Genomic DNA, 26,921 nt, shown 5'->3' with positions numbered 1-26,921 from the left:
CATATCTGAGGCAGAAACAAAGCAATTGCCTATCCGTACAAAGGTGACGCTCAAAGAATACTCTGTCAGGAACACAGTGTAGGGGGCCGTGTCTTAAGTAGGTGAAGAGTAATTTCAAGCCATCAATTATTTTTCAGTCTTCACTGAGTCCTTAGTTTAGTATTGCTGGATAACAAATTATCACCAGCTTTAGTGGATTAAAGTATCACAAACCTATTATCTCACAGATTCTGTAACCTGGAAGTCTGTGTATATCATGGTTAGGGTGATGGTTAATTTTATCGGTCAACTTGACTGGGCTAAAGGATGCCCAGAAAACTGGTGAAACATTGTTTCTGGGTTTGTTAGTGTGTTTCTGGGAAAAGATTAGCATTTGAATTAGCAAACTGAATAAAAAAGCCCCCACCAATGTGGGTGGCCACCACCTAATCCACTGAGGGCCTGAAAGGACAAAAAGGAAAAGGAAGGGTGAATCCTCTTTTCTATTTTTTTTTAATCTTTAACTTTTGTGGGTACATAGTAGGTGAGTATATTTATGGGGTACATGAAGTAGTTTGATACAGGCATGCACAGTGCAATAATCACATCATGGAAAATGGGGTATCTATCCCCTCAAGCATTTATCTTCTGTGTTACAATCCATTTATACTTTGTTATTTCGAAATGTACAACTAAATTATTATTGGATATATACACCTGTAGTGCTATCAAATACTAGGTCTTATTCCTTCTTTCTTTTCTTTTTTTTTAAAAACCCGTTAAGTATCCCCACTTCCCTCCCACCTTTTCTTTTTTCTTGAGCTGGGACATTCATCTTCTGCCTTTTGACATTGGAGACCCTGGTTTTCTGGCCTTTGGACTCTGGACTTACATCATCCCTACCCCTCTCCACTCTTTTTCCAGTACCTTGCATAGCGCAGCACCTAACCTGCACATATTCAATGAATGCAATTAATGCATGAAATGGCGCATTAAGGAATTATTTCTCCAAGTGCTTGATTATTCTGGTGAAATATCTTCACCAAACCCGGGCTCTCACGGAGGAGTGGTGTGTTTACTTAAGTTTCTGTTTCAGTTTTTCTTATTGTTCTTATACTATATATGAAAAGATTTATCGTATATCTCAAAGATTAACGTCCTCTCCCTATAAAATAATGTTATTTGTTCGATCAGGCTTTTCTCCGTTATGCTTCCAATTTCTCGCATCCTGCCTTTCTAAAGTCCGCACTAAGCGTTGTGATTCCCGGACTTCTAGCCGCTGGCCGCACTGACATGTATTCGGAAAAGCAATTCCAAATTCTGTAAAATATCTTCCGGCAGTGATGCGATCCGAACTCCGGCAGTGGGTTGTCAGGCCCAGGTCAGTCCTGTAGTGCGTAACGGAACTCGGTTCCGGCTGGCTCTGATCGCATCACTCCTGCATCCTGCAAGTAACGCCCTCGCCAGCTTCCACCTCCCGATCTAATTGTCCCAGAAGTCCCCGCACTTCCGCTGTACGGCTGAGTGTTTGCCAAGATGGCCGCGCCCGTGCGCTATTACCGAAGGGCGCCGCCATCGCGGCTGCCGGACCCGCTAAGGCCGCCCTCCGGGTAGCCGCCATGTCGGTCTCCAGCGGCGTCCAGATTCTGACAAAGCCAGAGACCGTGGACCGGAGGAGAAGTGCGGAAACGACCAAAGAGGCCGGGCGACCACTGGAGATGGCTGTGTCCGAGCCCGAGGCCAGCGCCGCGGTGAGAGCTGTGATGAGACAGGGTGTTTTGGCGGTCAGAGATGGTGTACTTGCGGGGCAGTGATTGGAGTAGTCTGTGACGATAGGTGATTTGGGAATTGGTGGAATCGATGCTAGATGGTCTTTTGGGAGGTCGGTGTTCTGAGTTATCTGTGGGGTTAATGATTTGGCTTTAGGATATCAGTATTAGGAGGGATCTGCAGAGACAATGATGGGGAGGCGTCTGTGGCAGTCACCGAGTGTCGGAGTTTGGAAGGAGATCAGAAATGGAGGCTTTGTGATGTGTCAGAGATAGGGAAGGACCGTGGGGGTTGGCGGTTTGGGATGTCTATGGGAGCCAGCGATTATGGGTGCCTGTGGTGGTTAGAGCCTGGGTTATCAAAGAGGGTCAGTGTTAGGATTTGGGAAATTCAGTGATTGGGAGCATCTGGGAGCATCAGAGATTGGGGCTTGGGAGTCAGTGACGGTGATGTCTGTGGAAGTTTGATTAGCAGTATCTTTGAGGGTCAGTGGGTAATGGAGGAATCGGGGGGCCAGTGAGGGGGGAATATGACTGTTGGAGTTTGGGGAGTCAATGTTGAGGTGTCTCTGGGGATGGTAGATGATTTGTATGTCATCTGGGGAGAAAAGGTAATTGGGGATGTATGCAGGTCAATAATTAGGTGGTGTCTAGCAGTAATAACTGTGCTTTGAGTAATGAGGTGATTAGTAGGAATTAATGATTGAAGATCCTCTATGATTCTGTGACTAGAAGTCTAAGGGGGTCAGGAGTTTGAGGGGATTGCTGCATTTAATGATTGAGGGTTCTTTGGTGGTCAGTGATTGGAGATCTGTGGAGGTTAATGATTGTTCTGTGGAGAGTGATAGTTGGGAACTTGCAGAGATCCATAATTGGGAGAAGTTTGTGAAGGTTAGTGATTGGGGAGTATTTGGGTGTCAGTGATTGAAAACTTGCAGGAACAGTAGGAACAGTCTGTAAGATGAGCATTTATTTTATGCCAGGGGGTATTTTTTATTTTATTTGTTTGGTGTTGTTGTTTTGCAGTCCCTGCTTTGTCCTCAAAACCAGGGAATGTTTTAAATGCTGGAGACACACCAGGAAACAAAACCAGAATCCCTCCCTCAATGACTTACATTATAGAAATATGAAAGATATCATAAAATATAAACAAATAAAATTATTCCAGACACTAATAAGTGCTGAAGTAAGTAAAAGAGGATGGTGTGGTACAGAGTGATTGAGGGTAGGGAGTGCATGACTTTAGCCAGGTTAGTCATGGAAAGCTTTCCTTAGCAAATGACAGTTGGGTTGAGGCATAAATCATCACAAGGAGGCAGCCATGCAGAGATCTGAAGAAAGAGTGTTTCAGGAAGAAATAAACATCAACTGCAAAGGACCTGGGGTAGGAGTAAACTTGGTGTGCTTAAAAAAGAGAAGGAAGATTAGTGCTGTTGGAGCACAGTCAGAGGGAAAGTAGAAAGCTGTGAATCATAGTGGTAGGAAGGTATCAGATAATGTAGGATTTTATTGGCTAGTGTAAGGATTTGGATTTTATTCTAGATGCAGTGAGAAGCCATTGAGTTTAAGCAGGGGAATGATCTGTTCTGACTGACACCTTGAAAAGATCACCATGGCTACCTCATGGAAGACGGACTGCAGAGGGGCAAGAGTAGGTAGATATAGGGAGGTCAGTTAGGAACTTTTTGCAATAGTCAAAGACAAGAGATTATGGTGATTTAGAATAGAGTTGTAGCAGCAAAATGAAATCAAATTCAGAATACATCTGGAGATAAGCAATAGAACTTACTAATGTATTGATATATGGAGTATGAGGAAAGAGAAGAATCGAGATTTACATCTAGACTTTTAACCTGAAGAACCGGATGGATGGTGATTCTATTTTCTGAATGGAAAGGGTTATGGTGGAAAAGACTAGATTTGGTGGATGGAAATGGGATCTGGGGTGATGTCAGTGGCTCTATTTTGGCCGTGTCAAAATGCTCATTGCACATCTACCTAGAGATATTGGGTAGCCACTATATATATGAATCTGGAACTTAGGAAAGGGGTGAGCTAGGGAACCATTTTTGAAATGCATCACAATAAAGATGGTATTTAAAGCCTTAAGATTGGCTCGGGTCACCTAGGAAGAGAAGACAGATAGGGAAGAGAAGAGAGCCAGGGACAGAGGGCTGGGTCACTCTGACATTTAAAAGTCTGGTAGAAGACAAAAAACAACAGAGAGAATAAGGGGTGCCCATTGAAGTAAGAGGAAAACTGTGCAAGTGGGTGTCAAAGTAGCATAGAGAAGAAAGCCTTTCAAGACAATAGAAGTAATCAATTGTCATATATGCTTTTGAGTCCTAAAAGCAGGACTAGAGATCATTTGATTTTGTCAGTATGTAGCTCAATGGTTATTTTGATTGATTAGAACTCTTTTATTGGAGTTAAGGGGATAATATCCTGTTAGAGTGAGTTGAAAGAATGAGAGGTAATGAAGTGGAAACAGCAAGTATAGGCAACAGTTATGAGGAGTTCTGCTGGTAAAGGAAGCAGAGAAATGGACGTTGTATAGGATATGAAATCAAGAGGGGGTTTTCTTTAGATGAATGATATTAAGACAACTCTGTGTGTCAATGGGAATGACCCAAATAAAAGGGAGACACAGATGTTACAAAACAGAAAGAGGTACTTGCAGGAGTGAAGTCTTTGGGAAGGCAGTTGGGGATGGGATTGAGAGCACAAATGGAGAAACTGGCCTTAGGTGAGAGAAGGAAGACTTTCCATTTTAACAGAAGAGAAGGTATATTGTATATGAGTTTGGAAACAGGTTGCTGGAATTGGTGGTAACAAGACAGGGTAATTCTTGTCCATTTGGATTTATTTTCTCTTGAAAGCATAAAGCAAATTCATCAGCCAAGAGTGGGAAAGGAGTAGATGTTGGAGTTTTCAGAGTTAAAAAGGAGAATGTTCAAAATAATCACCTAGGAAAAAGGAAAGGTGTATTTTCTAGGGTTAGGTAGTAGGACTACTGACAGGATTAGGTGTCCATTTGGCATGTGTGTTATAAATTTGAAGTTAGTCCACTCAGCAGTTTGATTTTTCTCTTGCAATGTTCAGTTGCAAGGTTTCAGGCAGAGATTAAGAGGAGAGTTGGATTTAACCAAGGTTGAGGCTTTGACAGGTGAGTACAGTGGAGAAGAAGAGAATCAAGGAAGTTAAAACTTTATAGTTTTTAATTGATTGTGTATGGTGCTAGAACAAGGAATCTGAACAAGAAAGAAAGGCTAGGTAAAGGTGGAAGATTGTGAAAAAGTGGTTAGGATCAGAGGGCTCAATGAGTTTGGAGAATTATTGGAGTGAAAGTACTAGAAAAAGTAGCAGGATAGGAAATGATGGTCAGAGGGCGGAATGTCTTAGAGATTTTTGCAGGTGGTACAGTGATGGCAAGGTGTAAGTGCAGATAATTGATGAATAGGTGGCTGAATTTGAGTGGAAGAAGAGGTTGCTGACCTCATGAAAAAGAGAGGCAAGGGTGTTGAATGGCTCTTCCACGTTGATACGGAGGTAGTGCAGCATTATGGCAGGAATTTAGCTGGTGCTAAAGTTTTCAGTGAATTGGGTGGGATGACTGCAGAACAGAGTTAACATAGAAGTGAAAAACTGCTATCCTTAGACAGGCCTGCTGCAAGGTCTGCTTTTTGCTGTCATCTGGGAAATTAGATTTCAGGAAGGATCCCACCATTCCTGGAACTGATTAAGAGTAGTTCCGAGTGCTTAAAGAATACACAGTGTGGTTTATGCTGAACACCTGCTTTCTTCTGGGAGTCTGGAATTTTTGTACATGCAGGCAGAGAGTGCCTACTTGACCAGCCCCCAGTGAAACCCCTAGGCAGTACTGGTCTCTAATGAGCTTCCCTAGTAGACAACATTTCATACATGTTATTATAACTCATTTCCAGAGGAATTAAGCATGTTTTATATGACTTCACTGGGAGAGGACTCATGGATGCTGGTGCCTGGTGTCCTGTGGACTTTACCTCATGCTGATTAACTGACTTTGTACACTTTTGCTACAATAAATAATAGCTATGAGTACAATTATATACTGAGTCATGTGAGTCCTCCTAGCAAATCACCGGACCCAGAAGGGTTAATGGCTGAAAACCTGGTGATACTATAAATAAGCTATGAATTTTGAAGGAAGAATGAGAAATTGTTGAAAGTAATCATTTACCTCATCTTTAGACCCTGAGGTACATGGGTCATGGCAGGGAGAGGGGTGGTGCAGGAAAGACAGCCTCCACTCCTCTGAGGCTCCTATAAGGAAGCAGGATCCTCAGGAGACAGGTAGATTTCAGGTGAAGCATGCAAATGAAGGGAGTGGCTAAAGAGGTTGAGGGAGGAGTGGAATTTGCTGGCAGTAATTAGAGTTTCTATAAAGGCCACTGCTTGAGAATTCTGTTTAGTGATTGGGGATTGATAAGATGAGGGATTTGGGGTAATAGGAGATAGATTACCAGTGTCCTGTGGGTATCATTGGTTGAGGAACCTGTGAGAATATGTGATTGGAGTGTCTGTGGGGGCAAGTGGCTGGGGAGATCTGCTGCTGCTACTGATTGGGAGGTTTGCTTTACCCAGTCATTTTGGAACTATAGGCCCAGTAATTAGGCAAGGCTGTCTGTATCAGCTCAGTGATTGGAAGGCCAGTGACAATCAATGATGGGAAATTATTGGTAGTCAGTGACTACAGGTCTGTGGGGCTAATTTGATGACTTTTGCAGGTAATTGAATGGTGGTCTGGCCAGGCACAGTGGCTGACATCTGTAATCTCAGCACTTTGGGAAGCTGAGGTGGAAGGATTGCTTGAGCCCAGGAGTTTGAGCCCAGCCTGGGCAACATAGCAAGAACCTGTCTCTACAAAAAAATTTAAAAATCAGTCAGGCATGGGTGTTGCTTGCCTATAGTCCCAGCTACTTGGGAGGCTGTGGTGGGAGAATTGCTTGAGTCCAGGAATTCAAGGTGTCGGTGAGCTATGATTACGCTATTGCACTTCAGCCTGGGCAACAGAGTGAGACTTTATCTGCTCCCCCACCCCACTGCAAAAAAAAGAAGGAAAAAAAATTTGGTTGCCTGTAAGGATAAGGGATTATCTTTAAATGTTAGACAAACATGTTTGAATATATTTATTAGTATCAAAATTCTCCAATAGCTGTGCCGTCCTCCCCCACCTGCCTAATAAGAGGACTTCAACATACTTTAATTTCTTCCCTACTCCCACCCCCCTAGTTAGGGTTCTGCTTATTTTTTAATATCATACCTCTTGATTTTAAGGATACTTTCATAACAGTTGTACAAGCACATTATCAAGTTACTTAGATTTAACTAGACATTTTACTGGTTGTATTTTTCATAGCTCTGTCTTGCATATTAAGTCTTTCCCAATTTTGAAATCTTTATTCTGATCCATTTTTACTTCTTTTAAAAATCATTCATTCTCTTTTTCTGCTGCTTTTCCTCTTTCTCCTCCCCTTCCCCCTTCCTCTATTTCTCCCCAACTTTCTCCTTTATTTCTAAAGAACATTGGTAGTGTACATTCTGCATTCTTACATGCCTACAATATCTTACTTTTGCTGCCAAACATAAATAACTTTTTTTTTTTTTGAGATGGAGTCTCTGTTGCCCAGGCTGGAGAGCAATGGCTTGATCTTGGCTCACTGTAACCTCCACCTCCTGGGTTCAAGCAGTTCTCCTCCCTCTGCCTCCCAAGTAGCCGGAATTACAGGTGCCTGCCACCATGCCTGGCTCATTTTTGTATTTTTAATAGAGACCATGTTGGCCAGGCTGGTCTCAAACTCCTGACCTCACATGATCCACCTGCCTTGGCCTCCCAAATTGCTGGGATTACAGGCATAAGCCACTGCACCTGGCCCATAAATGATTTCTTTGACTGGTTACAAAAATCAAGGGTCTCAATTCTTCTACCTCAGAACTATAAATACTGCTCAATAGCCTTTTAGCATCCCCTGTTATAGAAGAGGAGACAAAGATTGATTCTGTTCCTTTTTTCTTTTTTTTTTTTTTTTTTGGCTATTTGTCTTTCTCTCCGATATGCACGTGATTCTATCCTCTTGAATAAATAAATTCACAATAGGGACATTTCTGTTTGTCGAGACAGGGTCTCACTCTCTCAGCCAGGCTGGAGTGCAGTGGTGTGATCTCAGCTCCCTGTAGCCTTGACCTCCTGGGCTCAGGTGATCCTCCTGCTTCAGCCTCCTGAGTAGCTGGGACTACAGGCATGCACCACCATGCCCAGCTACGTTTTGTATTTTCTTGTAGAGATGGAGTTTTGCCATGTTGCCCAGGCTGGTCTCAAACTCCTGAGCTCAAGCAATCCTCCTGCTTTAGCCTCCCAAAGTGCTGGGATTACAGGCATGAGCCACTATGCCTAGCTCAGTAGGGACATTTCTTAATATGGTTTTTGTTTCTCAAAATAATGAAAAATTGAGTAGAGAATAGGTATCCTTTATAATATCATGATCAACAGTGAGTAGTCAAGGTAAGAACAAATTATTATCTTGTCCAAATCACTCACCAAATGTGGATAACATTAGCATGAACAGGAATATGCTATCACAGGTATCAGTAACATTCAAACATGTGACTATGGCCTTTACCCAGAAGGAATGGAAGCAACTGGATCCTGCTCAGAGCAACCTGTATAATGATGTGATGCTGGAGAACTACTGCAACCAAGCCTCAATGGGTAAGAACAATTCCTTTGTAATTCAAAATGTGTCCACTGTGATACCTTCTCTCTGGAGTCCTTGATAAGTTTGGCCTTCATTTTTGTGGGTCAAAGGGCTTTCTTCTTTTTTGGGTACTAGGCAGGATATTTGTGCCCCTGCCTCCAAAATGGAAGGTCTATTTAGCTGACCTGGCATTCATATTGTGAAACTCCAGAAGCCATGTATTCTTTAGGCCCTGAAGTACAAATGCTGCGGCTTCATTTCTGGGATGGTTGTTCTAACACTCAGTTTCTGCTATTTCTCATGAGCAGGGTGTCAAGCTCCCAAACCAGACATGATCTCCAAGTTGGAAAAAGGAGAAGCACCATGGTTGGGGAAGGGGAAAAGACCCAGTCAAGGTTGTCCAAGTAAAATAGCAAGACCCAAGCAAAAAGAAACTGATGGAAGTAAGTTGTAACTTTGAAATTTTTCAGCAAATAATTTATTCTGAAATTCTTCTTAAAGATCCTAGACCTTTCTTTCTTAACTAGAAAATAGCAATAGAAAAAATCAGGATTTCCTGAGGAAAGAATATTTCAAACTACAAAGATTCTGTAACCTGAGAGATTCTAATATCTCTTCCTTTTATGAACTTGTTCACATGAGAGGTTCTTTGTGAGGTTCGCTATAGTAGTGAGCTAGTGTTAACTACGGGAGTTTGGTTATATCACCTGTATCAGTCAATTTCCACTCAGTTTTGCTCCATGAAGGAATGAGCCCCTGAAATTTTAGTTACTTACAATAAGAAAAATTGATTGCTTGCTCAAGCCACAGCCCTATTCCATATTATCTTTATTTGGGGACCTATGCTGAAAGAGCATTCTCCATTTAGCAAATTCTGGTCTCATGGCAGAGGCAAAAAAAAACAGGGTGAGTGGAACCACATGGTAACTCTTAAAGTCACTGCTTGGAAGTTGTAGATATCCCTTTCAGCTCATATTTTATTAGTCAAAGCAGGCCATCTGGCCACTCCTGAGTTCAACATGGTAGGAACGTATAATCCTTCCACTGGGAAGTGCGCTATAATTCAAAAGGCTATGCATTTGGAAGGGGCTGGGAGGTATAATCTTGCCACAGGAAGCAATAATACTATCTGTCACACCACTCAGGTTGTGGTAGGATAAAAGGTGAAAATCAAGGCTCTGAAACTTGGTACCAGCCCCTCAGATGCCTAACTGACCCTTCCATATAGCCACATATCCTTATTCCTGTGCTCAATTGCTCAGTCTTCAGAAGGAGCAGTGACCCTCTTAGCTATTCTCGATCCCACTCCTGCTTACCTTATATAAATCAGTGCTTTTTAAAAAAAGCATCCTCCCTTTTCCTAATATCCTCAGCTTTTCTCCTTTTCTCCACCCATACTCCGAGACCCTACGGTATCAAATTTTCTCCTATGTATTGGACATTCTTAGATCTGCCCTCTTTGCAAATGTCTTGGCATGATGCTCCTGCCCTGAGTTATTTCCGTTTCTCTCCTTTCACTAGGAAATTCTCTAGACCCATGATCTATAGCACATCATCATTTCCATTTTCTCCTTAACTCCTGCAGTCAAATCCCACAGAATTCATGCCTCTATCTAAATTTCTGACTTTAAGATCACCACTGCTTACTTTTCAGTGCATACTTTAATCGTTTTTGTTAGCTTGAAGTTCTCACTTACCCAGTTTGAATTGTACAACTTGAATCAGATCTTATCTTCTAAGTGCTTCTTTATCATTTACTTACTAGCTTCTCTTCCTTCTCATTTTGCTGAGGTGTCCCTAAGGTTTTGTCTTCTACCATCTGTTCTTCTTTAAAATTGTATTGATTATTCATTGTGCAAATAAAAGCTATTTATTCTACACTCGTGACTTCCAAATGGGCAGCTCCAATTCCTTTGTCTTATACTCATATTTGACCTACTTAAACAACAGCTTATTCTTAGGATATCAGAAATGGAAAGCTTTGTCTTTCTCTCTAAATTAGAGGTTCTTTTCATCTTCCCTGTTTTTATCAGGGTGTGCTCTGATTATAGGACTGTCTCCCATAGAGTTACTATCCTGTCTTCAGTTTCTGGTTCTTTTTCTCAATTTTCAGTGTCATCACACAAATCAGGTTCATATTATCTCATACTTAATTTTTCCAATTCTTAGGTAAATTTGCTAAATCCATTTTTTTCCCTAATTTTTTCTCTTTTTTTTCATAGAGACAGGGTCTTGCTGTGTTGCCCAGGCTGGTCTTGAACTGCTGGTCTCAAGCAGTTCTCCCTCCTCAGCTTCCCAGTGTTGGGATTACAGGTGTGAGCCACCATGCCCAGCTTTAATTGATCTTACATGTTACCACCAAACATTAAAATATTCAGTTATTATTTATGTTACCATAGTCCCCAAATTATTAATAGCAGAATATCTGCTATGTCTTTTAAGTTTCTTTTGACCCCGAATTGTCCAAGACTGTATGAATTCCCTGAGACCAGAGGAACCAGTCTTTCAAATGACAAATGAAGAGACTCAATGGAGTTTCTGATTCATCCATTAATGGCTCCAGTTTTGGCTATCCTTACTTTTCTTGTTGACATCTTAAATTACAGCTAAAAAACAATCCTGAGTCACTTAATACATCTTTATAATTGCTACAGTGACTCTCTTCTTGGTTCAGGTTCTCTTTTTTTTTTTTTTTTTAGACGGAGTCTGGCTCTGTAGCCCAGGATGGAGTGCAGTGGCGCAATCTCGGCTCACTGCAAGCTCCTCCTCCCGAGTTCACACCATTCTTCTGCCTCAGCCTCCCAAGTAGCTGGGACTACAGGTGCCCACCACCACGCCCAGCTAATTTTTTTGTGTTTTTGGTAGAGACGGGGTTTCACCGTGTTAGCTAGGATGGTCTCGATTCCTGACCTTGTGATCCACCCGCTTCGGCCTCCCAAAGTGCTGGGATTACAGGCTTAAGCCACTGCGCCCGGCCAGTTCAGGTTCTTATATACTACTTAGGAGGCTCTTCAAAGAAGGACTGTTCTATTCTCTCCAATAATTTGCTGGGCCAAGTGAGCTCCATATTTGTTTCTGAAGTTACAGTTGTTTTAGCTTAGCATTTATGTTTTAGTTACTGTCTCAAATTCAGGAAAAACTTCCAGCCATAGTCAATTGCTCTTCCAGACCCATATTACTATACCAATTTACTCGTTCAAATTCTCCTCCTTTCCTTCATGGTGATATTTTCTTGTAGTATCTTATGTCTTTTCCTGCCGGCAGATATCAGTTGGGACCAGCCAAATTCATCATTGTAAAGGTTCTTATAATATTACATGTCAAGGGGAAAGTTTTCAGTTTTGATTCCTTTCTTTCCAGAAGGAAATTTTTCCTCAATGTTTTCCATCATCCTTGGGCATTGAAAGACACAGCCTTGTCATGGTACCTAAAAGTTTGTTATACTCTCTGCATCACTTAAAATTTCCTAAATGAAAAAGCAGCCAGCAACTGCACTTCTCTAGACTCCCTAATATATATATAGATATATATCTGCCTGTATATATATAGATATTTATCTGTCTATATATATATAGATATATGTCTATATATAGATATATATCTGTCTACATATATAGATATATATCTGTCTATATATAGATATATATCTGTCTATATATATAGACAGATATATATTTTATTTTTCAAAAACTGATCTTCTGCAACATGGGAATTAATCTCTCTAATGTCCTTTATAAAAGTAATAATATTTCCTTTCTATCCATTCAGATACCGTAACTCTTTTTGGTTTGAGTCCAGTTTTCACTTTCTCAGTGTAATGTTTCTTTACCATCAAGGTGGCTATTCACTTCCTGCTTCTTTCTCTCTGAAGTCATGGGGATTTTTATATCTGCTTCTCTCTAAGACTGTTTAATTCTCACTCTGAAGCTTTTTCTGCTATTCCATGCTATAGCATGTAGCTGAAAAATGACACCCCTAAATGGTGGCCCCAGCTCTTAAGATTATAGGTTTTTATACATGTAGTATCCATAGCTAGCTAACAGAAGTCTATAAATTTCAATTTCAGGTTCTTAGGCAAAAGAATATTATTGGACTACCTGGTGTTTACCACGGTCCAATCAATTGTTTTTAGCCAGAATTTGGATTATGTAATACAAACATAGTGGCCCACAGCTTTCAGTGTGGGTAATGGTCTCAGAGAAGGGAAGCAGGGATTAAGAAGACATCTCAAAATGTGTAAGTGTATAATGTATGGCAGAAAGAATATGAGCAACCACTTAGAGCTGGGAATAAACTTAAAATTTATAACTGACAATTAGAAAGACCTGAAAAGAACAAATATATATTCCATAGCAAACTATTGGAAAACAAAACAAGGTTGGATGTACACTACAAATCAGATTGAGTAAAGTTTGTTTGCTAAGCTAATTACTATGAATTTTATCATTTGATGAAAGCATCAGGTAATTTAGAGAAACTAGGGATTTTTAAAGTACAAGAATATCATTTTAGGGGTCATTTCAGTGGTAGCAATAGAAAGGAAAAGATATGTCAGCAGGAAAAGATCTAAGCACTACAAGAAAAATTCACCATGAGTAGTATAAAGTGGATAACCTTTCCTATTTATTCTCTTAGCCACTTATCAGCTCATCAGTACTTCTTGGTGGACTCACTTTATTTTTCTTTTCTGGCTTTTTTGGATATAATAACAAAAGTTTATGTTAGCTAGCTTCAGTAAATACAGGAATTTGTGATAAGGACCTGGGTACATCCCTTACAAGCTAAGGGCAAGATAGTTCAGCCAGTCCTCACCAGGGACTAGAAATAGGAACTAGGAAGGAACTAGGAAGCCATTGGGAATTGAAATTGTGCAAATGATCTCTTTAAAGACGCAGTTCTTATGTCTCTGCTTCTCGGTGTGTGGATGGTTCATACTTTGACTTGACGAGCTTTCTGTTTACGTAGAGAAAATATGGTTTACTAGTACCTGCTTTATATAATTTCTAAATTTAAGTACCAAGTGGAGACTAACTGGAGTCAAATTTGTTAGAAGAAAGAATCTTGTTGGACATCTTGGTTTGAGTCAGATTTGTCTCCAACTGTGCCCATGGAGAATTGGGGTAATATAGTATAGGCTGCAGGAGCAATATATTATGGCCAGCTTGGGAGTTATCAGAACTGGGCAGCTTGGGCTTATAAGAAACCTCAAAAAGTATCAGCTACAATCATAAGCTCTTTTAACTCCATCTATTCCCTGTTCACTTCTCCCTGTGTTTATTTCATCTTCTATCCCAGGTTGCTCACTCATATTTTTAAGCAGCAAAAACTTTAAAAAATCACTATTGTCACTTTTCCCACCTCTTTTTACTACAACATTTTCCCCCTCAAGTCCATTCACCCTAGTTGTTTCATTCACATTGGTATACCAGGCTTGAATAAAAATTTAACCCTACAACAGGTCATTTCTTTACCAGTTTTATTCCAAAATATAAGAGTACAAAGATTCACAAGAATATCTCACTGAATTCCATTTTAGAAGTCCAGAAAGATGATGACCAGCTTGAAAATATCCAGAAATCTCAAAACAAACTCCTCAGGGAAGTTGCAGTCAAGAAGAAAACTCAAGCTAAGAAGAATGGCAGTGACTGTGGTTCACTGGGGAAAAAAAATAATTTGCATAAAAAACATGTTCCTTCAAAGAAAAGGCTTCTTAAATTTGAGTCATGTGGAAAAATTTTGAAACAGAATTTAGATTTACCTGATCACTCAAGAAACTGTGTAAAAAGGAAATCTGATGCAGCTAAAGAACACAAGAAGTCATTCAACCATAGCTTATCTGATACAAGGAAAGGCAAAAAGCAAACTGGAAAGAAACATGAGAAATTATCCAGCCATAGCTCATCTGATAAGTGTAACAAAACTGGCAAAAAACATGACAAATTATGCTGTCATAGTTCATCCCATATTAAACAGGACAAAATTCAAACTGGAGAGAAACATGAGAAATCACCCAGCCTTAGCTCATCTACTAAGCATGAAAAACCTCAAGCTTGTGTGAAACCCTATGAATGTAATCAATGTGGAAAGGTTCTCAGCCATAAACAAGGACTCATTGACCATCAGAGAGTTCATACTGGGGAGAAACCATATGAATGTAATGAATGTGGGATAGCCTTTAGCCAAAAGTCACACCTTGTTGTACATCAGAGAACTCACACCGGAGAAAAACCATATGAATGTATTCAGTGTGGCAAAGCCCATGGTCATAAACATGCACTCACTGACCATCTAAGAATTCATACTGGAGAAAAGCCCTATGAATGTGCTGAATGTGGGAAAACCTTCAGACACAGCTCAAACCTTATTCAACATGTGAGATCTCACACAGGTGAGAAGCCATATGAATGTAAGGAATGTGGGAAGTCTTTTAGGTATAACTCATCTCTTACCGAACATGTGAGAACACATACAGGTGAAATACCATATGAATGCAATGAATGTGGAAAAGCCTTTAAGTATAGCTCATCCCTTACTAAACACATGAGAATTCATACAGGTGAGAAACCCTTTGAATGTAATGAATGTGGGAAAGCTTTCAGCAAGAAGTCACACCTCATTATACATCAAAGAACTCATACTAAGGAGAAACCTTATAAATGTAATGAGTGTGGAAAAGCCTTTGGACATAGCTCATCTCTTACTTACCATATGAGAACTCATACAGGTGAAAGTCCCTTTGAATGTAATCAATGTGGGAAAGGCTTTAAACAAATTGAAGGCCTTACTCAACATCAGAGAGTTCATACTGGAGAGAAACCGTATGAGTGTAATGAATGTGGGAAAGCCTTTAGCCAAAAGTCTCACCTCATTGTACATCAGAGAACTCATACTGGGGAGAAACCTTATGAATGTAACGAATGTGAAAAAGCCTTTAATGCAAAATCACAGCTTGTTATACATCAGCGATCCCACACTGGAGAAAAACCCTATGAATGTAATGAATGTGGGAAAACTTTCAAACAAAATGCATCCCTAACCAAACATGTGAAAACTCATTCAGAAGATAAATCTCATGAGTGAAGTTAATGTGGGAAATTTGTTAACTAAATTTAAGGTTTTGTTGAACCTTGGAAATATGCTGATTTTAAAGAGTGTTAGAAAGCCTTTAGCAAGATGTCACACCTTGTTGTACATGAGAAACTTTGAAAATGGATCTTCATATAGAATCAGTGGATGGAAACAAGGGTTTAAACTTGATACAAAACCTTTTATAAAAAATATTGTTTTAACTACTCAATTATTATAAATGATCTACATGTTCAGATTGAAATTGAAAGCTTTAAAAATTGTGAATTATTTGAATATTCAAAGCAATGGAGAAACAAGTTATATATGCTGACAGTTCCTGTGTTTCTTCTTGTTTTGTACTTAAGCACCATATATTAGAGTTGAATTTGCATATCTGTTTATTGCCTTATGTAAATGAGTGTGGCCATCTGTATAAGCCTCTTTGACATTTTCACCCAGCTCTTTCTTAATGTCTGTGTTGGCTTCTGCATCAGCAGAAATCTTTTTAAAAGGGTTGTTATATATGTAAAAAATGTTAACAGGAAAATGAGAGAAAATAAAGCAGCTGAGGATACAAATGTGCTGGTAGGGAGCGATATTCAAGATATATTGTGAAGTGTGAAAAAGTAGGTTGCTGAACCATGTATATAGTATGTTCCCCTTTGTGTACAAAAGGGTATGTTTGTTTAACCTCTGTCTCTTATCTCTGTATGTGTATGTATCTTTGTATGCATATATACATGTATCTGTATGTGAATAGACTTTGAAAAAATACAGAATAAACTTCATGGTGGTTGCCATTGGGCAGAGGAGTATAGGACTGGGGTCTAGGATAGGAGCAAGACTTCCTTGTATATTTGGATTTTTAAATCATGCACATGTATTATTTTTATAATTAAAATATTTTAATATGCATAAATCAACATTATTTAAGGTTGTCACTGAGCCCCTCCACAACATGTGAGATCAACATGTGAGATCTCAGATTTTGACAGAGTTAAAATCTTTGTATGCTTATTCATGAATGATGATGAATCTAAAGTATATAGTATGAAACTTGATGTTGAATTCATAAAGACTTTTTCTATCACACACAAGTTCTTTCATTAACATAGTGAATTATAACAGCACTGTTTCTACATTTGCCATTTTTTGATGTTGAATTGTGATTGCAGGTGATGATGAATTGTGATTGCAGGTGAATGAAAGTGATTTTATGAATAATCACCCTGTTTTATCTCATATTCAAAGAACTAACACACAAACACCTCAATCAGGGAATTCGAATGAAACAAATGTCACCCCTCCCTGTTCTCGCTCAATATTGGGCATTATTTACTGGATCACTGTACTCTTTCTGAGTGAACCCAGAGTTGGCCTCAGAATCATTGTGCAGCGTGCATTCCAGAAGGTACTATGCATCAACTTGGACTGTCACAGGAGACCTATTTGCCATTGCACACCTGGATTTTTTTTACTCTTGAGCCATAGATTAAAAATACTTCTGGCTGGGCATGGTGGGTGCCTGTAATCTCCAGCACTGTGGGAGGCCAAGGTGGGTGGATCACTTGAGGCCAGGAGTTTGAGATCAGACTAGCCAACACAATGAAACCCCATCTCTACTAAAAATACAAAAAATTATCTGGGCATGCTGTAATCCCTGTAATCCCAGCCACTCAGGAGGCTGAGGCAAGAGAGTTGCTTGCACCCAGGAGATGGAGGTTACAGTGCACTCCAGCCTGGGCAGCAGAGTGAGGCTCTGTCTCAAAAAAAAGAAATACAAAAAATGCACAAAACTTCTGAACTATTTTGAAATCTAAGTTGTTACACTAAAAGCAGAGACATAAGTACAGAAATGGTTTTCAAAAACATCATACCTTTATTTTAATACAATATTAATTTACATAATATAAAATATTATAATTTGGCATGTTATCTTTTATATTTTTTAAAGCACAATCCCTACATTATTTCATTTATTCCTCAGAACTAACATATGAGCAGTAATCGGGACTTGTCTAGTCATGTTCAATCCTGTTGAGTAAATATTTCACCTAGACAGTAATTTAGCATAATAATGGGCCCCAAAGAAATATGTGCTTAAATGCCATCTTTACAAATATTTATCATTCAAGCTCCTTCCTTCCTGACCTCATTTCAGAGAATTATAATGTGTTAATATAATATATTGAGAATGGAATATGTGTTCGTGTATGTGCATGTGCACACATGCATACACATGCACGGGTTGAAAGCTCAACTCATGAATATATCCCCTCATTTCCAAGTAACTTATTTATCACATGGGAAGAAAATGCAATATGAAAGCCATTTCTACCAGTAATTTCTTAACAAGTGGAAATATAGCACTATGCACAGAATGAGTCATCACTGTCTAGAGCTGTAGAAAGCCTGCACTTTTTAGATGGATGAAACAGTTGCAGGTTATGGCTATGTTGAATTTCCACATGTCTTGGGGAACCCATAGTATTGCCACATCTGAGACAGTGAGAATTATAGGTATGCCTGAATGATATAAATGAATGCTGAAAGCCACTTTGTGCAGTAATAAAATGAATTAAAAGTTAGCATTGATGAATGAGGAAAGGATGTCTAAATACAATTGGAGGTTAGTATAGGAAAACAGACACACAGTGGTAAGTCTGAATCGATACGTAAACTCTAGTGTGCATAAAAATTGCCTGAATGATTTGTTAAAACACAGACTTGAGAATGCAAATTCTTGGGCCTCGTCACAGACATATTGGATCAGAAACCCTGTGGGTGGGCCTTGAGAATTTGCATTTTAATAAGTTTCCAGTGGATTCCTGTGCTGCTGGTCTGGGGACCACCCTTTGAGAACCACTAATCTAAATCATGGTGTAAGTAAGTTTAAAAAATTATTTTTAAACTGTTTTTCAGATCCTCTTTAAGAAAATGAAGGGGCATAAAAGTAAATTATTATTAACAGTTTTGAAACATTTATTTATTCAAGTGATATGATCATCTAAGTGCCTGAGATACAGCAGTCTACAAAACAAAAAGAAAGCAAACAAACAAAACAAAACCCTGTTCTCATAGACCTTAATTCTAGAGGAGGACATAGGTAATAAATAAACAACTACAATATAAAGTATAACAGATCACTGGATGGCAAAAAGCAAACCAAGGAAGGGGAGGGAAGTGTTGGGGAATGTAATTTTAAATATAGTGATGGGAAGCAGGCAGTAAGCTTACTTAGATGGTGACAAAAGCAAAGACCCAGAGAGGGTAAAAGAGCAAACCATGTATATATATATGACGGAAGAGCATTCCAGGGATATATCTTTTAGAATCTGAGGGTGTGGGAAGAGAAAGATGTTAAACTCCTCTGACATAAAGAAGAGGAAAAAAAGTGGAAACATTTTTTTAAATCAAGATTTAAAAAAAAATTACATTTGTGATAGGTAGAAAACAATCTGTCACACACTGCTTTTGGTAGTTGTGTAAGTTTGTACAACCTACCAAAATGTAAATCTGACAGTATACATCAAAGCCTTATGATGGTCGGCAGTCCATCGAGGAATCTATTCTATGTTGTACAATCAAGGCGTACTATGATATTTATTGCAGAACAGAGAGAAATAGCATATACATTGCTAGTTAATTGATTAAATAAAGCATGATTCCTTCAAAAATTGAGTAATATGACATTAAAAACCACAATTTCAAACTATATTTAAGAAGATACAAATAATTCTTTATTATTACTTTTACTCTCAGGAATGTGTTTGAGTGATGCATCTCCAGGCATCAAGTGAGTAATCCAATATTGAAGAAAATTAAAATTTTCCACAAAGTCCCCCTTCTAGAAGAATGTGCTCATATCTTTTGACCAGAAATGAGTCACATGACCACACCTAGTTTCAGGTGGCTTGAGGAAATTGAATCTTTCTTTTTTTGTTTTATTTTGTTTTGAGACAAAGTCTCTGTCACCCAGACTGGAGTGTGCAGTAGTGCAATCTTGGCTCATTACAATCTCTACCTCCCAGGCTTAAGCACTCCTCCCACCTTAGCCTTCCTAGTAGCTGGGACTACAGGTGCATGCCACCAAGCTAATTTTTTTTTTTTTTTTTTGGTGGAAACAGAGTTTTGCCATGTTACTCAGGCTGGTCTCAAACTTCTGGGCTCAAGTGATCTGCCCACCTTGGCCTCCCAAAGTGCTGTGATTAAAAGTGTGAGCTACCACATTTGGCCAAATCTTTAATTTCTTAACCTTCATAGTAAAGGAAATAAAGAGACATGGGCATTGAAAAATGGATGTTGTACAAACCAACCTGTAGCATCTAAAATACTAAATAAAAAACAGTTTACAAAACTATATGCACATTAGGATTTTAATTTAAATATAGATATTGTTTATACACACAAATACATATGATGAAAAATGCATATTATCATTATGTGGATAGTGGTTCTTCTGGGATCGTGGGTTTAAGAGTAAGTTTTGTGTTTTTCTAAACAATTTTTATATTTTCATGAATCAATTTTTTTTTTAGTAATAATATTTCTGATATGGCCAAGTGGATTCCTACTGGGCATGGCCCTCCCACAGATAATTATAAACTCTGGACAAAACACAAACACACACACACACACACACACACACACACACACACACACCCCCCAATGATCCAGTGGTACTGAAGAATGAACAAAAAGCAGGCATATTATGTGAAAGAGTTGAATCTTGGAAGAAAGGAATGGAAGGGGGTTAGATCACATTTTTAAGGCTGTTTGCTTGAAGATAGGCTGAATTTAGTGTAACAGAGGGGGATAATTTGATAGAAAAAATATTTTTGACATGAAAAACCATAGGACAAAGTTCAGGGTAACCACAGTCACTGGAAAGTGAGGGAAGAATATCAGAAAAGAGGAACTCAAAAGAGTGGACATCCCAACTTCTGTGCATAAGCTGCCCAAGTCTCTGGATGACACCTGAGCTATGCGCGCATAGGATACGCTAAGGACAAAAGAACTGAGCTTTCATTTGTGCTGCTGGCCTAGAGACAGCGTTTGAAGTTTGAGTTTAACTAAATTCATTATTTAATGAAGCAAAAACATTAGCACTCTGCAGAGGAGCAAAATAGAGTCCAGAGTCTCCACATCTTAACCATTCATGTTATGTAGGACACAACTTTTAAAAATTGCCTGACATTCAAAGAATTAAGAACATATGACCCCCCATTTCAAGAAAATAGACAATCAACCCAGGTGATGGAATGAGCATATGAGAACATTAAGGTAGATATTTTAACTATGCTTAATAAATTAAAAAAAATTCTCACAAGGAATGTAGTTTTTAAAAAACTTAGTGAAACAAATAGAAACTACAAAGAAATACAAATGAAAATTCTACAACTGTAAATACACTGAAATTTAAAAATCACTGAATAAATTTGCCTGCAGAATAAAAATGACAGGGGAGCCAGTTAACTTGAAATAGATCAGTAGAAATTACCCAAACAAATGAGTAAAAAAATAAGAAGAAATGAACAGAACCTCAGTGACCTTTGGGACAATAACAAAATGTCTTAGATAAGTGTAGTTGAAATCCCATGAGGAGAGAATGGGACACACAAAATATTTTACGATATAGTGGTTGAAATTTCCCCAAATTTGGTGAATAATATAAATGTACAGATTTGAGAATCTCAGTGAATTCCAATCAGGATAAATGTGGAAAAAAAAAAAAAACCCCATAAGGCACATCCTAGTCAATCTTCTGAAACACAAAGATAAAAAGAAAATCCTTGGGCTGGGTACAGTGGCTCACACCTGAAACCCCAGCATTTTGGGAGACCAAGATGGGTGGATCACTTGAGCTCACGAGTTCAAGACCAGCCTGGGCAACATGGTGAAACCCCATCTCTAGCAAAAATACAAAAAAATTAACCAGGCATGGTGGTGCACACCTGTGGTTCCAGCTACTTGGGATGCTGATGTGGGAGGATCACTTGAGCCTGGGAGGCAGGGGGTGCAGTGAGTCAAAATCACACCACTGCACTCCAACCTAGATGACAGAGTGGGGCCCTGTCTTAAAAGAAACCAACAAAATACCCAAAGAAAATCATCAAGGACAGAGAAAAATTACACATTAAATGTATTTCAAAACACAATAAAAACGACTGGTGACTTACCATCAAAGACTACAAGGGCCAGAAGACAGTGTATCTGTATCCTTCTTATAGGAAAGAAACAAAACTGAATTTAAAAACCTTCACCCTCAAAATTTATATCCAGCAAAAAGTATTATTCATGAATGACTGTGAAATAATCACATTTTTCAGATAAAAGAAAACTAAAACAATGTATACCCAGAGAACTCTATGGTTCTTCAAGTTGAAAGGAAATCATAGTAGATGGAACCTCAGAAAGCAATGATGAGTATCAGAAAAGGTAAATATGTTGATAAATATAAAAGACTGGTTTTTGTTTTTAAATTCTTTAAAATATTTCAGATTATTTATAACAAAACTTATTATCTTATATGGAATGTAAGGTATTAAATGCAATACATATGACAAGTTTACATAATGAAAGGAGGGCACACCTATCTTATAGCAAGTTTAAAATAAATTTCATGTGATATGGTACAATATTAATTTCAAGTAGACTGTGAAAGCCAAGGATGTATAAAGCAATCTATAGAGAAACCACTAAGGAGTAATGCAAAGAGGTATAGCCAAAACACAACAAATAAATTAAAATAAACCTCTACAAATATTCAAAAGTTCCTGATGGAAGTATGAAGAGAGATACGGAGGAACAAAATCTGAGGGGACAAACAATACAAATAATAAGATGTTAGAGCTAAATCCAACCCTAACCATAATTACATTAAAAGTTAATGGACTAAACATTTCAATTCAAAGACAAAATTTTCACAATGGCTAAGAAAGTGAGACCCAATCTCTACAACATCCAGACTTTAGAAACCACAGATATGTTAAAAGTAAATGAATTGAAAAAGATATACCATAGAAATAGTAAGCATAAGATGTCTGAAATGTCTATATTCATATCAGACAGAACAGAATCCTTGATAATTAGTATGAGCAGAGATAAAAAGGAACACTTTAAAAATATAAAGGGATCAACTCAACAGAAAGACATAACATTCATAAGTGTCTACGCACCTAAACAGAGCTCCAAAGTACATGAAGCAGATATTGGAAGAATTAAAGGGAGACACTAACAATTCTACAATCATAATTGGAGATTTTAATATCCCTCTTTAAGAAATTGATAGAACAGTGAGAAAAATCAGTAAGGACAATGATTATCTGAAGAACGCTATCAGCAACCTTGATCTTGACCTAATTGATGTTTATAGAACCTGCAACTGCAGAATATACCTTTTTTTCCAAGTGCTCAGGGCATGTGCACTAAGATAGGAAATACATTGGGGCACAAGACAAGTCTCAATATATTTAAAATAATTGTAATCATACAGAGTATGTTATCTGACCACAATAAAATTGTGTTTGAGTTCCCTGGAGGCAGGTGTTGAAAAGGAGTTTGTCTTACTACTTTTTGTGTTGCTGTAAAAGAATGTCTGAGGCTGGGTATATATAAAGAAAAGAACTGCTTATAAAGAGAAGTTTATTTAGCTCATGGTTCTGCTGGCTGAGAAGTTCCAGGACATGGCCCTGGCTTCTGGCAAGTGCTTTTGTGCTGTGTCACAACATGGCAGAGAAGGTCAAAGGAGAAGTGCATACATGAAAAGGGGAAAACCTGAGGGGTGTCCTAAGGAGAAGTGCATACATGAAAAGGGGAAAACCTGAGGGGTGTCCTGGCTTTAAAACAACCCACTCTCATGGGAACTAATTCATTGCTGTGAGACCTAATCCAGTCTCATGAGAGTGAGGACTCACCACTATGAGAACAGCACCAAGCCATTCATGAGGGATCCATCCCCCATAACCCATACAACTACTATTCTAGCCTGTATCTCTCAACACCACAACATTGAGAATCAAATGTCAACATGAATTTTGGTGGGGACAAACTATATCCAAATAATAACAGAGTTGGAGTTATCAGATATTTATTAGAGATCGACACCCATGAAAGGAATGGAGAGAAAGAGGATTGGGCAGAGGAAGAAGTTGAAATTTTATTGCAAGCCTAACGAAGCCTTGCCAACCTGGAGAGGAGCTCTGGAGTAAATGTTTCCCCCAGCTGAGTGTCCTGCCTTGAGCTTTATACCTCCACCTTGCTCATTCACAAGATGTAGGCTGTCTTGCAAAGGGCATGACTTTAGGTAAGGGAGCTCTCTGTAGATGAGGCCCACTGTGAACTAGCTGATAGCTAGAAGTTGTCTTCTGATGGCACTCCTGTCATCTAGGCAACAAGTCCTTCCTTAAACGAGAATCTGGGCATGCAACTCTGTGTCTATTACAGTCCATTCCTTGCTCGGCTCAGATATAATTATCCGTATATGTCTGGGAAGTACTTCCTCCAGGATTTCTGTATGCCTCTATGCCTGAGGAGGAATTAGAAAAGGGAGATTAGTGGGATGAACCACGGCCCCTGCTGCTACACTGATCTCAGGGTCACAATAGGTAACTAACTCATCATCTCCCTTCTTCATTATTCATTCTCAGCTATCAACTCTGCTGACCTGAGACATTGGTCGTTATGCCCTTCTCAGTCCAGAGCTGCTGGGCCAGTGCATTCATATCAAAATTAGACGAGAGATACTAATCACTAGATTTCACATGTGTTTCTCCCTGCCCACATTGTGCGATAGCAGTCCATTTCCTACCGATATCAGTGTTATTTACCTGTACCAAGAGAGTGACTCCTCCTCTTTCCTCCTGGTCCCTGAACACAAAGAGCTCAAAGTATCCAGGAAGTAGCCATAGTTTATAATTTACTGAGACTAACAATGTGTCCTCTGGTGAAAATGTGCCCCCTTTAGGGACTAGTGCCTCTTACTAGAATTGGCATTGGCAGTGATGGTAAATAGGCTCCACTCCCACTCTCATCTCTTGGTTAGTGGACTGATGTATTCTTCCCAGTGGATGCACACCACCATATAAAGTCTTTGATTCAACGCATACATTGTGCAGGAAAGTTTTTGTAGGGAAAAGAAAGAGAGATCAGATTGTTACTGTGTCTATGTAGAAAAGGAAGACATAAAAAACTTCATTTTAATCTGTACTAAGGAAATTGTTTTGCCTTGAGATGCTGTTAATCTGTAACTTTAGCCCCAACCCTGTGCTCACAGAAACATGTGCTGTATGGAATCAAGGTTTAAGGGATCTAGGGCTGTGCAGGATGTGCCTTGTTAACAAAATGTTTACAGGCAGTATGCTTGGTAAAAGTCATCACCATTCTCCATTCTCAATTAACCAGGAGCACAGTGCACCATGGAAAGCCTCAGGGACCTCTTGGGCTTTCTTGGTCCTTTTTTCTATTGGGTTTTTGATCAATCCCTTTATAATTTTCTGAAGAAATGTGTTTCTTCAATAATAATTTAAAATTTGACTTTGTTTTTGGTTCCACTGTGAATTTAAAATTTGTTTATGTAATCAATTTTTGTTTTCTTGATTTCTCTTGTTTTTGATCTCTTGTGTAGCTTGGAAACTTCCTCCTTTATACCCAGGGATCACTGTCCACTAGGAATTCACTCTCTTATAGGCCTTTTACTTCTCCTTTTCTTCTGTAGTTTTCTTTGCTTAATCTCTGACCCGTTTAAATCATCTTGAGCTTTCCCACATCAGTCTTTGACCTGCTTAAATTCTCTGAAATTAAAAATACCATCTTGTAACCTGCATTCTCATCTTTCTTTCCCTCAACACACAAGCTTTTGAAAACTGATACTATCTTGGTGTTTCTGCTTCCTCAGTTCACATACACACTTCAGTATCATGCAGTAGAGCTTCTGTGTTCATCATTACTCTGAAACAACTTCTATAATACGAAGTCCATCTTGCTGTTATCAAATCCAAGGGATATTTTCTTGTCCTTAACTTAGCAGATTTTTTTGTTGCATCTAACATTTAATCCTCCACTCTTCCTTGAAATATGTCACCATTTGTTCTTTTGACGCCGCCTTCCTTCATCTTCTGCTCCCTCTGTTTCTCCTTTATTTCTTTCATCAGCACCTCTTTCTCTTCTTATCCTTTGCCAGTTGGTATTTTCCAGGGCTTCATCTTTTGTGCCTTGCATTTCCTTGTCTGTGTGGTTTTCCTGATTGATTACATCTCTTGTTTATAATAATCTATAAGAATCGCCTCTTTTAGATGTGTCTTGATCGTATTTGACTAACTGGAGACAATATTTGGATTCTAAATTTGATTGCAGTAAGTAGCATAATAAAATACATTTGTGTTGCAGTAAGTGCACATATGCACACGTCTGCAGCACATAAGATTTGTTGAAGCGAACTAAATATGGCCTGAGAAGGATTCTGTACTTCTGTGTTTGAGTCCTTGTGGATAAACTGTAACCTAGCTTAATAGGCAGACAAGATTGAAAACCTAACTTAGAAGTGTGGGCCTGTAACAATAGCTGAGTCTTGGCCAATCCCAGCAGCCGTACTTCAACCACGCATAGACTGCTAAGTGTTCAAACTGTGTTCAAATAAGGCAAATGCCAACCTGTAACCAATCCAGCTATTTTTGTACCTCACTGCCAGTTTCTGTATGTCCCTTCCCTTTTTTTGTCTGTAAATTTGTTCTGACCATGAGACATCCCTGGAGTCTCTCTGAATCTGCTGTGATTCTGGGGGCTGCTTGATTTGTGAACCATTTACTGCTCAATTAAACTCCTTTTAAATTTAATTCAGCTGTTTTCTTTTAACAGATTTGATATATATTTTTTCCTCATATGCATAATACCATTTTCATGTAATGAAATTTCCATTTAATACCTTTTCCATGTAATACCATTTTCATGTAATGTCTGATTCTTGCCTCCTCTCACCTTATATCTAGCTGGGAGTGGAAGGAAACATGGAACAGAACATCCAACACACCATGATCATCCCGGAGTTTTTGGACAGTAAGAATTACTTTCATTGTTTAAAGTAAGGTAGACATCATACACTAGTGGAGTAACATTTAAAAATTCACCAGAATGCATTTGTTTATTTCCAATTTTTTATGTGGTAAAATACACATAACATAGAATTTACTATCTTCATCATTTTTAACAGTACAGTTCAGTGTTACTAAATGTATTCATAATGTACAACCATCACCATTCTCCATCTCCATTACTCTGTTCCTCTTATAAAACTGAAACTCTATACCCATTAAAAAATAACTCCTCATCCTCCCTACCCTCCTGCTCCTGGAAACAACCATTCTACTTTCTGTCT

At 38.8% G+C, this 26,921-nt stretch overlaps 1 protein-coding gene across 3 annotated transcripts, besides 1 other annotated feature; it reads left to right on the top strand.

The window, feature by feature from the left end:
- Positions 1,363-1,932: an enhancer, noted in NCBI's record as "active region_28832". NCBI's record gives its function as "activates an Ori minimal core promoter by ATAC-STARR-seq in GM12878 lymphoblastoid cells {active_cell/tissue: GM12878}" and the evidence as "EXISTENCE:reporter gene assay evidence [ECO:0000049][PMID:35858748]".
- Positions 1,563-19,910, top strand: ZFP37 (ZFP37 zinc finger protein). Of its 3 annotated transcripts, none has more exons than NM_003408.3 (4): positions 1,563-1,730; positions 8,415-8,496; positions 8,791-8,925; positions 14,019-19,910. In NM_003408.3, the coding sequence occupies exons 1-4, from the start codon at positions 1,599-1,601 to the stop codon at positions 15,560-15,562; spliced, it is 1,893 nt and encodes a 630-aa protein (NP_003399.1). In that variant the 5' UTR covers positions 1,563-1,598; the 3' UTR covers positions 15,563-19,910. The 3 variants fall into 3 exon arrangements, with proteins under 3 accessions (NP_003399.1, NP_001269447.1, NP_001269444.1); NM_001282518.2 differs by having other exon boundaries at positions 8,412-8,496; NM_001282515.2 differs by having other exon boundaries at positions 8,370-8,496.

Source organism: Homo sapiens, chromosome 9 (genome assembly GCF_000001405.40).
Source record: "Homo sapiens chromosome 9, GRCh38.p14 Primary Assembly".
Taxonomy (NCBI): Eukaryota; Metazoa; Chordata; class Mammalia; order Primates; family Hominidae; genus Homo; species Homo sapiens.
Note: the sequence above shows the minus strand (reverse complement) of the source record. Positions and strands in the feature narration are given on the sequence as shown.